At 40.3% G+C, this 14,215-nt stretch overlaps 1 protein-coding gene across 4 annotated transcripts in view, besides 1 other annotated feature; it reads right to left on the bottom strand.

Moving 5' to 3' along the window:
• The window catches only part of COG3 (component of oligomeric golgi complex 3), a 71,763-nt gene that overhangs the window by 47,358 nt on the left and 10,190 nt on the right, over positions 1-14,215 (bottom strand). For all 4 annotated transcript variants that reach the window (XR_429222.5, XR_007063702.1, NM_031431.4 and 1 more), the window contains exons 2-8: positions 12,997-13,143; positions 10,278-10,339; positions 9,054-9,219; positions 8,040-8,114; positions 6,871-6,963; positions 5,989-6,114; positions 2,769-2,849 (exon numbers count right to left, since the gene is read on the bottom strand). Coding sequence is in view for 2 of the 4 variants with exons in the window: in NM_031431.4 (NP_113619.3) it covers positions 2,769-2,849; positions 5,989-6,114; positions 6,871-6,963; positions 8,040-8,114; positions 9,054-9,219; positions 10,278-10,339; positions 12,997-13,143 (750 nt within the window). In the remaining 2 variants the exon portion in view is untranslated. The remainder of the gene's footprint in view (positions 1-2,768; positions 2,850-5,988; positions 6,115-6,870; positions 6,964-8,039; positions 8,115-9,053; positions 9,220-10,277; positions 10,340-12,996; positions 13,144-14,215) is intronic.
• Positions 4,301-4,803: an enhancer, noted in NCBI's record as "NANOG-H3K27ac hESC enhancer chr13:46058676-46059178 (GRCh37/hg19 assembly coordinates)". NCBI's record gives its function as "activates a minimal SCP1, AML or CMV promoter by ChIP-STARR-seq in primed H9 embryonic stem cells {active_cell/tissue: H9 hESC(primed)}" and the evidence as "EXISTENCE:reporter gene assay evidence [ECO:0000049][PMID:30033119]".

The raw sequence follows: 14,215 nt of genomic DNA, 5'->3' as shown, positions 1-14,215 counted from the left end.
TATTCTATAAACAAAACTAAGTTTCTCCCATTTCAAAAAAAAAATTCCTTTAAACTGGTTGGCTTTTTTTTTTTTTTTTTTGAGGCTGGGTCTCACTTTGTCAAAAAAAATTCCTTTCAACTGGCTGGCTCTTTTTTTTTTTTTTTTTTTTTTTTTTGAAACAGAGTCTCACTTTGTCACCCAGGCTGGAGTGCAGTGGTGCTATCTTGGCTCACTGCATCCTTGACTTCCTGGGTTCAAGCAGTCCTCCCACCTCAGCCTCCCAAGTAGCCGGACCACAGGTGCACACCACCGTGTCCAGCTAATTTTTGTAATTTTGGTACAGACAGGGTTTCGCCATGTTGCCCAGGCTGGTCTCAAACTCCTAAACTCAAGGGATCCGCCCTCCTTGACCTCCCAATGTACTAGGATTGCAGGTGTGAGCCACTGCACCCAGCCATCAATTGGCTGACTTTCAAGACAGAAACAAGCAAGGAAGTGAAGTCAGTAAGCAAAAGTAGATTATTATTTCTAGAAACTTCACAATGAGTAGAAAGAATATATATGCACCAGCTTCAATTAAATGTATCTCAGATATGTTATAAAATATAACATATATTGATCTTTGCCCCCTCCATGCTATCAGTTAATCCAAATAAATACATCATGGACTCCTGCTACGTAGAATGAATAAGGCACATACCCAACCTCATGAAATATCCTACCAATGCATTAATTCACCCCCTAATCTCACCTGGATTACTGCATAATCTTCCTTAGTAATGAGGCCTCCCTGTCTCAAATCTCTCTTCACCATAATCCATTTTTTATATTGCATCCTTAATCTTTTTTATTAATACATAATTGTACATATTTATGGGGTACATGTGATATTTTGATACATGGATACAATGTGTTATGATCAAATCAGAGTGTTTAGAGTATCCACCACCTCAAACATGTATTATTTCTTTGTGCTGGGAAAATTTCAAATCTTCCCTCTTAGCTATTTTGAAATATACAATAAATTGTTAACTACAGTCATCCTACTACACTACTGAACACTAGAACTTATTTCTACTATTAAACTGTACATTTATACCCATTAACCAACCTCTCCACCTCCCCTCCACCCAACCCACCCCAGCCTCTGGTATCTATCATTCTACTCTCTACCTCCACAAGACCAACTTTTTTAGTTCCCACATACGAGTGAAAACATACAATATTTGTCTTTCTGTATCTGGCTTATTTTACTAACTTAATGACCTCTAGTTCCATTCACGTTGCTGCAAATGACAGGATTTCATTTTTTGTTACAGCTGAATAGTATCTTATTGTTTATATATACCACATTTTCTTTATCCATTCATCCACTGATTGACACTTAGGTTGATTCCATATCTTTACTATTGCGAATAGTGCTGCAATCAACACAGGTATCCCTTTGATATACTGATTTCCTTGCCTTTGGATAAATACCCAGTAGAGGTATTGCTGGATGGTATGACAGCTCTATTTTTAGTTTTTTGAGAAATCTCCATACTGTTTTCCATAACAGCTGTACTAATTTACATTCCCATCAACAGTGTATAAGAATTTCCTTTTGTCTGCATCCTCACCAGCATTTGTTTTATGTCTTCTTGATAACAGCCATTCTAACTGGGGTGAGATGACATCTCACTGTGGTTTTGATTTACATTTCCCTGCTGATTAGTGATGTTGAACATTTTTTCATATACCTGCTGGCCATCTGTATAGTCTCCTTTTGAGAAATGTCTACTCAGTCTCTTTGCCTACTTTTTAATGGGATTATTTGGGGCCTTCTTCTGTTAAGTTCCTTGTATATTCTGAATATTAGTCCCTTGTCAGATGAATAGTTGTAAATGTTTTCTATCATTCTACAGGTTGTCTCTTCACTCTGGTAATTGTTTTCCTTTGTTGGGCAGAAGATTTTAAGATTATTATAGTCCCATTTGTCTATTTTTGTTTTTGTTGCCTATGCTTTTGAAGTTTTAGCCATAAAATCTTGGCCTAGACCAATGTCCTAAAACATTTCCCCTATGTTTTCTTCTAGTAGTTTTATAGTTTCAGATCTTCAGTCTGTAATCCATTTTGTTTTGATTTTTGTATACAGTGAGAGACAGAGGTCTAGTTTCATTTTTCTGCATATGAATATCTAGTTTTCCCAGCAATCATCCTTTCCCCACAAAATGTTCTTGGTGCTTTTATCAAAAATCAGTTGGCTGAAAATGCATGCATTTATTTCTGAGCTCTCTATTCTGTTCCATTGGTTTACATGTCTGTTTGGCAAATCTGACCAAATAACTCCTCTGTTTAAGATACCACTTCATTGGTTCTCTACTTTTCCTAAATTAGCACGACATGTAACATCCCTCGTGAGAGAGTCTTTGTAGTATAAAGATCTCTCCCAAAATGTATGTCTTTTATGTCTCCTACAAACTTCCCTATATGTGCTGTTCTCTCTTTATCAAAACACCTTATTGGTCCCTTCAAGACCACCAGCCAAGCTTTTAAAACCCGTCTATCACCTTCATCTAGAAACCATCCCTGAGCATCACAGGAAAAGCTAGATGCTTCCTGCTCTGTGGACTTAAAGAACCTAGACACAACACTAAGATACACTGCTATAATGTGGAAGGACAATGTCAACCTTTCATTCAAGTTCACTTCCTCGGTATAAACAAAGAGCCTAACATACAACAGTACTTCAAAAGGGCAGATGAACAAATTTCATAGCAATGTCCTAGTTATGTCAATAGACTTACTCTGACTTTGGGGGCAGCAGCTCGAAATTTCACATAAAATAATGTGAAGGCATTGTCTGCATTAGGTACAGATGAAGGATCCTAAAGAAACATGGGGGAGGATAAGGAAGGAAGATAATTAGCAAACAAATAATTCAGAAAACCCAACAGCAACCATTTCCTATGGCTACTGCTTGGCCTGCATACCAATCAAAGCTTAGGGAGAGTCTCCCTCTCCCTCTCCCTCTCCCTCTCCCGTCTCCCGTCTCCCGTCTCCCGTCTCCCGTCTCCCGTCTCCCGTCTCCCGATGGTCTCCCTCTCATGCCGAGCCGAAGCTGGACTGTACTGCTGCCATCTCGGCTCACTGCAACCTCCCTGCCTGATTCTCCTGCCTCAGTCTGCCGAATGCCTGCGATTGCAGGCACGCACCGCCACGCCTGATTGGTTTTGGTGGAGACGGGGTTTCGCTGTGTTGGCCGGGCCGGTCTCCAGCCCCTAACCGCGAGTGATCCGCCAACCTCGGCCTCCCGAGGTGCCGGGATTGCAGACGGAGTCTCGTTCACTCAGTGCTCAATGGTGCCCAGGCTGGAGTGCAGTGGCGTGATCTCGGCTCACTACAACCTACACCTCCCAGCCGCCTGCCTTGGCCTCCCAAAGTGCCGAGATTGCAGCCTCTGCCCGGCCGCCACCCCGTCTGGGAAGTGAGGAGTGTCTCTGCCTGGCCGCCCATCATCTGGGATGTGAGGAGCCCCTCTGCCTGGCTGCCCAGTCTGGAAAGTGAGGAGCGTCTCCGCCCGGCCGCCATCCCATCTAGGAAGTGAGGAGCGCCTCTTCCCAGCCGCCATCACATCTAGGAAGTGAGGAGCGTCTCTGCCCGGCCGCCCATCGTCTGAGATGTGGGGAGCGCCTCTGCCCCGCCGCCCCATCTGGGATGTGAGGAGCGCCTCTGCCCGGCCGAGACCCCGTCTGGGAGGTGAGGAGCGTCTCTGCCCGGCCGCCCCGTCTGAGAAGTGAGGAGACCCTCTGCCTGGCAACCACCCCGTCTGAGAAGTGAGGAGCCCCTCCGCCCGGCAGCTGCCCCGTCTGAGAAGTGAGGAGCCTCTCCGCCCAGCAGCCACCCCATCTGGGAAGTGAGGAGCGTCTCCGCCCGGCAGCCACCCCGTCCGGGAGGGAGGTGGGGGGGGTCAGCCCCCCCGCCCGGCCAGCCGCCCCGTCCGGGAGGTGAGGGGCGCCTCTGCCCGGCCGCCCCTACTGGGAAGTGAGGAGCCCCTCTGCCCAGCCAGCTGCCCTGTCCGGGAGGGAGGTGGGGGGTTCAGCCCCCCGCCCGGCCAGCCGCCCCATCCGGGAGGGAGGTGGGGGGGGTCAGCCCCCCTGCCCGGCCAGCCGCCCCGTCCGGGAGGTGAGGGGCGCCTCTGCCCGGCCGCCCCTACTGGGAAGTGAGGAGCCCCTCTGCCCGGCCACCGCCCCGTCTGGGAGGTGTGCCCAGTAGCTCATTGAGAACGGGCCAGGATGACAATGGCAGCTTTGTGGAATAGAAAGGCGGGAAAGGTGGGGAAAAGATTGAGAGATCGGATGGTTGCCGTGTCTGTGTGGAAGGAAGTAGACATGGGAGACTTTTCATTTTGTTCTGCACTAAGAAAAATTCCTCTGCCTTGGGATCCTGTTGATCTGTGACCTTACCCCCAACCCTGTGCTCTCTGAAACATGTGCTGTGTCCACTCAGGGTTAAATGGATTAAGGGCGGTGCAAGATGTGCTTTGTTAAACAGATGCTTGAAGGCAGCATGCTCGTTAAGAGTCATCACCAATCCCTAATCTCAAGTAACCAGGGACACAAACACTGCGGAAGGCCGCAGGGTCCTCTGCCTAGGAAAACCAGAGACCTTTGTTCACTTGTTTATCTGCTGACCTTCCCTCCACTATTGTCCCATGACCCTGCCAAATCCCCCTCTGTGAGAAACACCCAAGAATTATCAATAAAAAAATAAATAAATAAATAAATAAATAAATAAATAAATAAGCAAGCTTAGGGAGAAAAATCTCAGGAAGATTAAATATTATTATGGCTACACATGAGAAATAATTAAATGGAACTGTCATCTCTCTCTCCTTTATAGTTAAAATTAACCTTACATTATTTAAATTTTGGTGGTAAACAGATCTGAATTGAGATTCACATTCTGCCACTCACTGAATGTAGGACACTGGCCCAAGTACTTCATCCCTCTAAGACTCAGTGCATCCATTAAACTCCTAAAGGTTTGGTGCAGCTCAATAGCAAAGCACTAGCACATAATAGGTACCAGTCTTTATGAGCTATTAGTTTCCTAAACTTACTGAAAATTTTGCAAAAAATAAAAAAAAATATAGGTTAGTTGGTATGTCAGCTAAGAACAATGTGAACGGTAAAAATGCAAGCCAAACATCACAAGCTTTGCATGGAAAGTTCAAGAAGACACTCCACGTTCTTTAGAAAGCAAGCTTAAAAACCAAAACATAACGTTTATGATTTTATTTTCTTAGGAAAGGAATATTTTCAATGACCATCTTAGCTTATTCTACTCTTATTTTCTAACCTTACACTCTGTTAATTTTCCACCTAGAATCAACTACAATCCATAATTAACTAATTGATTTGCTTCTTTCTGTACTGGTTATTTCTTTTGAATATAAGCTCCATGAGGGCAGGGACCTTATTAGCGCCTCTTTGTTTCTATACAATTCCTAATATAATATCAAGCATTAGGCAGTGCTCAATAAAAATGTTTGCTAAATATAGAAAAGTTGAAAAATACAAAAAAAGGGTAAAGAAGAAAATTTAAATTATGCATTATGAGATGCATAATTTTGCATATGAATATGAATATGCTTCAAAAGCACATTAACCCACCACTCAGACACAGCCACTTTTATGATTTTGGTATATTTCCTTCTAATATTTTCATGAAAAAGATAGAAAAGGAATGTTTTAAGAGACAAATAATTTGTATCTGATTATTCATCATATAGTACTGAATACTTCTCACACTATTAAACATTATTTGAAAATAACATTTGCAAGGGATATTTATAACATAGTCATTTTTCCCTACTATAAATAAAAAGCTGTAGTACATATTCTTAACAAAAGGTTAAAATTTTTTGGAATTACAAAGTACTAATCTCAGCCAAAGATTATGGAAGATGAATGAATCAAAACAACAACAATAACAAAAACCTGTTGTTGAGATCAGTTAACTCACCCTTTTCAGTAACTGACTTGTGAGGGTCTGTAGTGTGTTCACAGTATATGTCTTCATGAGGTGCAAAGCTTTAGAAAGACACTGTTTAAACTTCAGCAAATATATGGGATAATCTTTAAAATTAGGCTGTAAGGAAAAGAGAAAGATTTACAAAGTGGAAATGAACACAGATAAAAAGCAAGCTTTTAGTGAAAACCAAGGTGTCCCTATGTAAAGCAATATATAAAGTTCAAAAACAGGTTTCATAAAGATCATAAACTCCATGAAGATGAATAAATACTGTGACTGTCTTAGTCACAGTCAAACCCCCTGTGCCTGGCACAAAGTAGGAGCTCCATACATATTTGCAGTTGTTAGTAAAAGATATTTTCAGCACCCCACAGACTTCAAGGCTAATATGTAAGACCCAACTAGGAAAAGAATAGGAGTTAGGGGAAATAAACACAGCAATAAATCCTGAAGAAACAGAAATAGAGGGTGATTAAATCAAAGGGCTTGTCCCTTTATTTCCCCCCAAGTAACACTTTCTGTTTCCAAAGAAATACCGGGCATGTCAAGACACCAACAATTTAAAAACGGCTCATCCTGTTAGATGGGATAAAGCTGAGTCAGCCAGGATGTGTTCCATTCCAGGGGCTATTGCAGGAGCTAAAAGTACTTTTTACACCACTGCTAATAACGACTAAGAATTCACTACAACTTTTCTTTAATATGTTACAAATACATATTTTTCCCTTGGACAGAAATAATCACTTTACAGCACAAGAAGTGATATAATAGGAACATCTGCTAAACACAGAAAAGTTGAAAAACACAAAAAGATAGGAACAGGAATAGGAATCTAAGGATTTCTTTAAAACATGCAAAAATACTCTGACTTACATGAGATGAGATATATGTTATACAATCATCTAACTTGGCCAGCATAGGTATAAATCCGTCACTATTCACCGACAATGTAGGGGAATTCAATTTCTTTAAGAGAAAAAGAAAACAATCTTAATTCATAAAAAATGATACAGATAAAAGTTGGAAACTATGGATTAGAGTCAGCATATTTGCCTTTAGGACATAACATGTCTTTATAATAAATTTTAAAAGTCACCAAAATATCCTCGAATGTAGCCCACATGTACAATAAAGAAGGGACAAACAGAAAAAGCATACTGATTTAATTCAGTTTATTCCTAATAAGCTTTAATTGGACTCTTCATGAATTAGGACATGGTATATATTACCCCACTATACAATGTCATATTCAAATAATATATGAAATACCTAGATTTCTCACTTTCTGGTATACAATATACATAATTTTTCTACTTGCAGTGGTGATTTTTCTGAAGATTAAAGGATTAACTAGCAGTCATACTATATTTAGCAGTCATACTATGAAAGTAAAATGCAACCAGTCAATCATTTCTTATCCTGATATACAAATAGCTTGGCAATGAACTACTTTCCATTGCATTCCATTGTTAACTAGCCACAAGTTTTAGTTCTATGTCTTTAATAAACTAAATACCTATGATTAAACGATTTTAATAACATGACTTATACATAGTTATGATTAATTTATGAGTCAGAAACACAGAAATATAATTTACACACTTGTCTTTATTGGAACTATTATACTTTATTGGGATGCAACTATACATTTTGAGGACTATACTTTTCTTCAAACTAAACATGAGAATAAGTTTTAAAAATGTTTTGACTACTATCATGGTAGCATAACCACAGCAAAATCTAAAACTGAATATTTCTTCTTACAATCTTCTTCAAAGCTTACAAATAAGAAACTATAAGAGGTAGCCAATAAAGAGATTTTAATACCAAGAATACAATTTAAGAAACACATCTTAACTCAAATATTTAAAAATCTGAACTGGTAATGGTATCTCCACTGTCTACAAATAGGAATATCTATCAGCAAGCAAGCTAAATTAAAATATCACTCAAGCCAATTTATAGATTAAAAGATGACACGAAGAAAGGCAAAAATAAAACAAAAATCACTAACTTTATAAGAAGTAAAGAACAATGCTTACTGTGTTAATAGTTTCCAATTCGTTAAAATAGGAAAGCTTTTGTTGAATGTTTTCAGCCAGATCAACAAGTTCCGACTTGCATTTTTTAAAAGAGAAAAATCAATTATTATAAGAATATAAGAATCAACATGCCAGTCTCAAAGTTACACTAAACAGATTTACATTAGACACAGAGGTTTATATCAGATATGAGAATTCAGCTCAAGTATTTCTACAATCATGAACTAAAAGGGGCGATAATATTACAGTAAATTTTATATGATCTCTTCATAAAATAGTAAATGATCGCATTTTTAAAATACACAAAAGTACATACAGAGAAAATTCTGAGACATACTAACTTAAGTGTTCTAGCTCTAAGTCAAAAGTAATCAATCAGTTGATCTTTTCAAAATCTCACCATTGGTACAATCACTATGCTTCTTTGAAAAGTGTCAGTAGCTGGGTGCAGTGGCTCACACCTGTAATCCCAGTACTTTGGGAGGCCAAGGCGGGCAGATGACTTGAGGTAAGGAGTTTGAGACCAGCCTAGCCAACATGGTGAAACTCTGTCTCTACTAAAAATACAAAAATTAGCCAGGTGTGGTGGCACACGCCTGTAATCCCAGCTACTTGGGAGGCTGAGGCAGGAGAATCGCTTGAGCCCAGGAGGCCGAGGTTGCAATGAGCTGAGATCACGTCATTGCACTCCAGCCTGGGCAACAGAGCAAAAAAAATAAAAATAAAAAATAAAAGTGTCAGTAATAAAGAGTGATCAGAGCAAACCAACATAGCCACTACATTTGGAAATTGTACTGAGACCTAACAGCTCAAAACATAAGAAGGCTTGCCTTTGCTATTCACATGCACTTAAAAAGTAGGCTGTCAGTGTAACAATCTGCATGCTGAGCACAGGGCCTCAAACACAGCAGAGTTGAACATCTTGGAGAAATTAAGAAAATTAAAATAAAACTGTATTCATCTATTTTAAAATATTAAATATAATGACTGATCCTCTCTCTTACTCCAAATTACCTGTTCTTTTAGGAGCTGTTCACAGGCTTCATGTAGGGTTCCTGTCTTATTGGACACAAAAAGATACTGTTTCTGCAAAGACTCCAGATGCTGAAGAGCACTGTTTACATCATTCAATATAGCATCACACTGCTCCTGAAACCCAGACAAGTAATCCCTCATCTGTCTAGAAAACAGAACCAAAAGGGGATTGGCAATAATCTTTTCCCCCAATAAGCACAGTAAAAAAACAACAAAGGCTCATTTTTCCCAAAATGTTCGAATTTCAGGAGGAAAACTGCCTATGCACATAAGTTGATTATGTTAAGAAATGTACCAAAAGTTATGTCATAAACCGTTTCAATACTTAAGAAGGCAAATCACTAATCCTATAAGTAACAAAAGGAATTAGCCTTGAAGCCATAATCTGGCTTTTCACATATAAGGCAATGAATCACTGGCTCAACTTCTAAAGACTGGGACACCAAAGCCATCCCAAGGCACCAAGTAAGGCCAATCCTTCAGATCACTTCCCTCTTTGAAAGATGGTGTGATGTCATGGCAAGAATTCTAGATTTAGAATTAGAAGACCTGGGTCCAAGCCCCAGCTCTGCCCAGTCTGCATGAGATTAAGCAAGTAACTTATTATTTCCAGGCCTCAGGTTGCTCATTTGTAAAATAAGAATAGTAATATCCTTCCTCACACAGCTGTTACGAAGATTAAATGGGATCATACATTAAAGAGTCTACCACACTGCCTAGCAATAATAGCCATCAACAAATCAATACCCTGAATGTGGACACTCAACCCACAGCCCCCAAATCAGCCGTCAACATTTCCCCCATGCTGTCAGCATCCACTGACAGAAGTATAGTTACAACCAACCTAAGTGGCCATCCTGAAAGTCTTTCAGGGATGTTTCTCCTTCTAAAAAGCAACAAACACCTCCTAGAATTCCTCTACAACTCCTACCTGAACCTAGTTCTTTCTGGAGCTATCTAAAAACTAACATCTATCCCTCCTAACCTATTAATTATAATGTAATTCTTTTTGTTTTTAATCACACAACTTCTAAATAACAGTTTTAAAGACCCAAATCTTCTCACTGGCTATTCTTAAAGAATATATGGCTGTTACAGTTTTCTTAATACCTCAGTTTTATTTAAAGACACTGATTATGAAATGCTTCAGATGACTGTGATCTAAAAATTAAGATATTCAACAAATGCAAGAGACACACATACCTATATTTAGTTCCTTCATCTTGATCCATCTGAGTTTGCAGCTTTGCAAACCATGAGAAAAACTGGAAAAACAGAGTATTATATTGTGAACAAAACTAAAACTGACAAAATTAAAAGTGGCTACATGCTAAGCAGCAAGTCAAAAGGACAGACGTTATCCAAGTTTTATTGCTTAGGGCTCAGACATAATCAGTTTTAGGCCAGGAGAAAATAGTTTAATTATATCCACAATACCCATATGCTAGGAAAAGCAAAGGATATTAAAACATCGGCCATTTCACCGGGTGTGGTGGCTCACACCTGTAATCCCAGCACTTTGGGAGGCCGAGGTGGGCGGATCACCTGAGGTCGGGAGTTCGAGACCAGCCTGGCCAACATGGTAAAACCCCGTCTCTACTAAAAATACAAAAATTAGCCAGGCGTAGTGGCACATGCCTGTAATCCCAGCTAATCGGGGGACTGAGGCAGGAGAATTGCTTGAACCCGGGAGGCAGAGGTTGCAGTGAGCCAAGATCACAGCGAGCCGAGATCGCGCCATTGCACTCCAGCCTGGGCAACAGAGCAAAATTCTGTCTCAAAAAAAAAAAAGGCTGGGCGCGGTGGCTCACGCCTGTAATCTCAGCACTTTCGGAGGCCGAGGCGAGCGGATCACAAGGTCAGGAGATAGAGACCATCCTGGCTAACACGGTGAAACCCCGTCTCTACTAAAAATACAAAAAATAAGCCGGGCGCCTGTAGTCCCAGTTACTCAAGAGGCTGAGGCGGGAGAATGGCATGAACCCGGGAGGCAGAGCTTGCAGTGAGCCGAGATCACGCCACTGCACTCCAGTTTGGGTGACAGAGCGAGACTCCGTCTCAAAAAAAAAAAAAGGCCATTTCAGATGTCTTAAGGATTGAAAAAAACAAACAAAAAACTGACCATTTTCACAGTCAAATTAAGGAAGAGTATTAAACATACAATAGGTAAAAAATGAATATTTCTTCCTAACAGGCTAATGCCTACTTGCTATAATCGTTTACAAAATTTGAGTAGGTAACATAGTGCTTTGGGCAAATATCAATATTAACGTTATCTAATAAGAACTGTGAGGCTATAACTCAAAAATAATATTACAGAGTGGTTTAAGAATATGGACTGTGGGGCCGGGAATGGTAGCTCACGCCTGTAATCCTAGCACTTTGGGAGGGCAAGGCAGGCAGATCACGAGGTCAGGAGATTGAGATCATCCTGGCTAACAAGGTGAAACTCCACCTCCACTAAAAATACAAAAAATTAGCCTGGCGTGGTGGTGGCCGCCTGTAGTCCCAGCTACTCAGGAGGCTGAGACAGGAGAATGGCGTGAACCCAGGAGGTGGAGCTTGCAGTGAGCCAAGATTGCCCACTGCACTGCAGCCTGGGCAACAGAGTGAGACTCCATCTCAAAAAAAAAAAAAAGAGAATATGGACTCTGGTATCAGCTAGCCCTGGATCTGAATTCTGGCCTGAAAAATATCTATTATTTAAAAGGGGGATGCGGGGAGTTGACCTTAAACAAGTATGAAGAAACTTTTGGGGTGATGATAGAAATGTTTTATATCTCAATTATAGTTGTTAGTTACATACATAGGTATATACACTTTTCAAAACTCATTGAGCTGACACTTAAAATGAATACATTTTATTGTACATAAATTATAAGTCAGCATATTAGTTTTTTTAATTTTAAAGAGAGAACAGGTACGAGTTTCATCCAGAGGACTTTTTTTAAGCAGGCCAAACAAGTTCACAGATGTGGTGCAAGACTACCTTCAAGTGAACCTGAGAACACTGAATCTCAAGTAAGATTCAATGTCAAGGGTATACAGGCTTGCCATGTACCTTGGCTATCATTTGCTGAGCATTTACTGTGTACTTGCTACACAACGAATTTACATGCATTATCGTATTTAACGCTCACAAAAATCCTGTGAAATAATATATAATTATCCCTGTTTTATATATTAGGAAACTAAAGATCTAAGAAGCTAAGTAATTTGCTTAAGCTCACAAAGATGCTAAATGATGGAGCTGACTTTCAGGTGCAGGTCAGCCTAGCTCAGGAACTGTAATTCTTCATCGGTTTGTAGAACTGCCTCTCTCAACTTACTATATATGTAATCCAGTTCCAACACATGTACTTTATGTTTTATTTGGTCAATGCCTCAACTTTGACTCTTAATAGGAAAAGAAAGAGGAGACAAGGAAAGTGGCAGAAGAAACTACTGTAAGTTTAGGTTTCTAATTAGGAATGAACAAAAACCAAGAAAAAATTACACATGCTAAATTACTGAAAAATAACTACAAATGTTAATATAAAAAGAATATTTGGGTTTTTTAAAAAAGGACTACCTAGCAACAAGTGAGATGGAGGGGTACCCATGCACACACTGAGGGAACAGGTTAACAGAAGACAGACATTGGGGGAAGTCAAAAGTGCATAAGACATTAAAACCTCAATAATCTATCAACGTCCAAACATGGAATCTCATGTTTTTTTACCTATATCATAACTATAATTGGGCAATAGATTCATTTAAAACACGTAAACAGCCACAACTAATGCAAAATCAAGAATGTTCTAGAAAGACTTAATGTTAATTATGGTGACAAATGTTCAGAACTTTTAATTAGGACTTTATTAGCCTTGTCTTCAGACATCTGAAATAATCAAACATCCTTAGAAAAGATACTGCAATTCACCTGCTGTGCGGTTTCAATTCTTTCTTCTTCCATTCCTAAGGAAGTGAAGCCCTTCAAGAGAATGTCTTCTGTAGATTCAGGCACTACTGAAGTCAGTTCAATGGGCAGTGACTGGGATGTTAAACTGCACAAGTCTTCAATTGGAAGCTTGAAAAAAGAGAGTCACAAAGATATTTAAGTGACTTGAAAATTCTCTGAACTTAACTCAAGATTGGGTTTCCATCTCAGTTGTTTTGAAAGAGAAAGAAATATTTTCCATTAAATCACATTAAGTTAATAAATACTATATAGTACTAACATTTTAGGCTCTATATTAAATGCTCATCTCAAAATATAAACATGACACTGATGTCCCACCATTAGTAAGCTTTTTTTTTTTTTTTGGTGACAGGGTCTTGCTCTGTCATCCAGGCTGACATGCAAGGTGCCACCTCAGCTCACTGTAACCTCTGCCTCCAGAGTTCAAGCCATCCTCCCACCTCAATCTCCAAGTAGCTGAGATTACAGGCACGCAACACCACGCCCAGCTAATTTTTGTATTTTTGGTAGAGTTGGGGGTCTATACATGTTGCCCAGGCTGGTCTCAAACTCCTGGGTTCAAGTGATCCTCCTACCTTAGCCTTCCAAAGTGCTGAGATTACAGGCATGAGCCACCAAGTCTGGTCTGAGTTAGCTTTCTAATAAGGGTGGTAAATCTGTACTAATCCACACACATTTTCTCACTTGAGCCTCTTGTGAACTACCACCAGGCAAAGAGAAAACCTATGTGCTATTGAAAGTAGTTTGCCCTCCCCAGTATCTAACACAAAAGCCTGACCAACAGGATTAACAAATCACACCCAATGACCGGGTTCAGTGGCTCACGCCTGTAATCCCAGCACTTTGAGAGGCAGAGTTGGGTGGATCACTTGAGCCCAGGAATTTGAGACCAGCCTGGGCAACATAGTGACACCCCCGTCTCTACTGAAAATACAAAAAAAAAAATTAGCTGGGTGTGGTGGCACACATCTGTGGTCCAGCAACTTGGGAGGCTGAGATGGGAGGACCACCAGAGCCCAGGAGGTGGAGGTTGCAGTGAGTCAAGGTCGTGCCACCCACCCAGGGTGACAGAGTGAGGCCCTGTCTAAAAAAATAAATAAATAAATCACACCCAAGAATTGATTAGAAATAAACATTACCTCCTCCTACCATTTCCACCCACCCACTGGCACATCTCACC

This window comes from Homo sapiens, chromosome 13 (genome assembly GCF_000001405.40).
Source record: "Homo sapiens chromosome 13, GRCh38.p14 Primary Assembly".
Lineage (NCBI taxonomy): Eukaryota > Metazoa > Chordata > Mammalia > Primates > Hominidae > Homo > Homo sapiens.
Note: the sequence above shows the minus strand (reverse complement) of the source record. Positions and strands in the feature narration are given on the sequence as shown.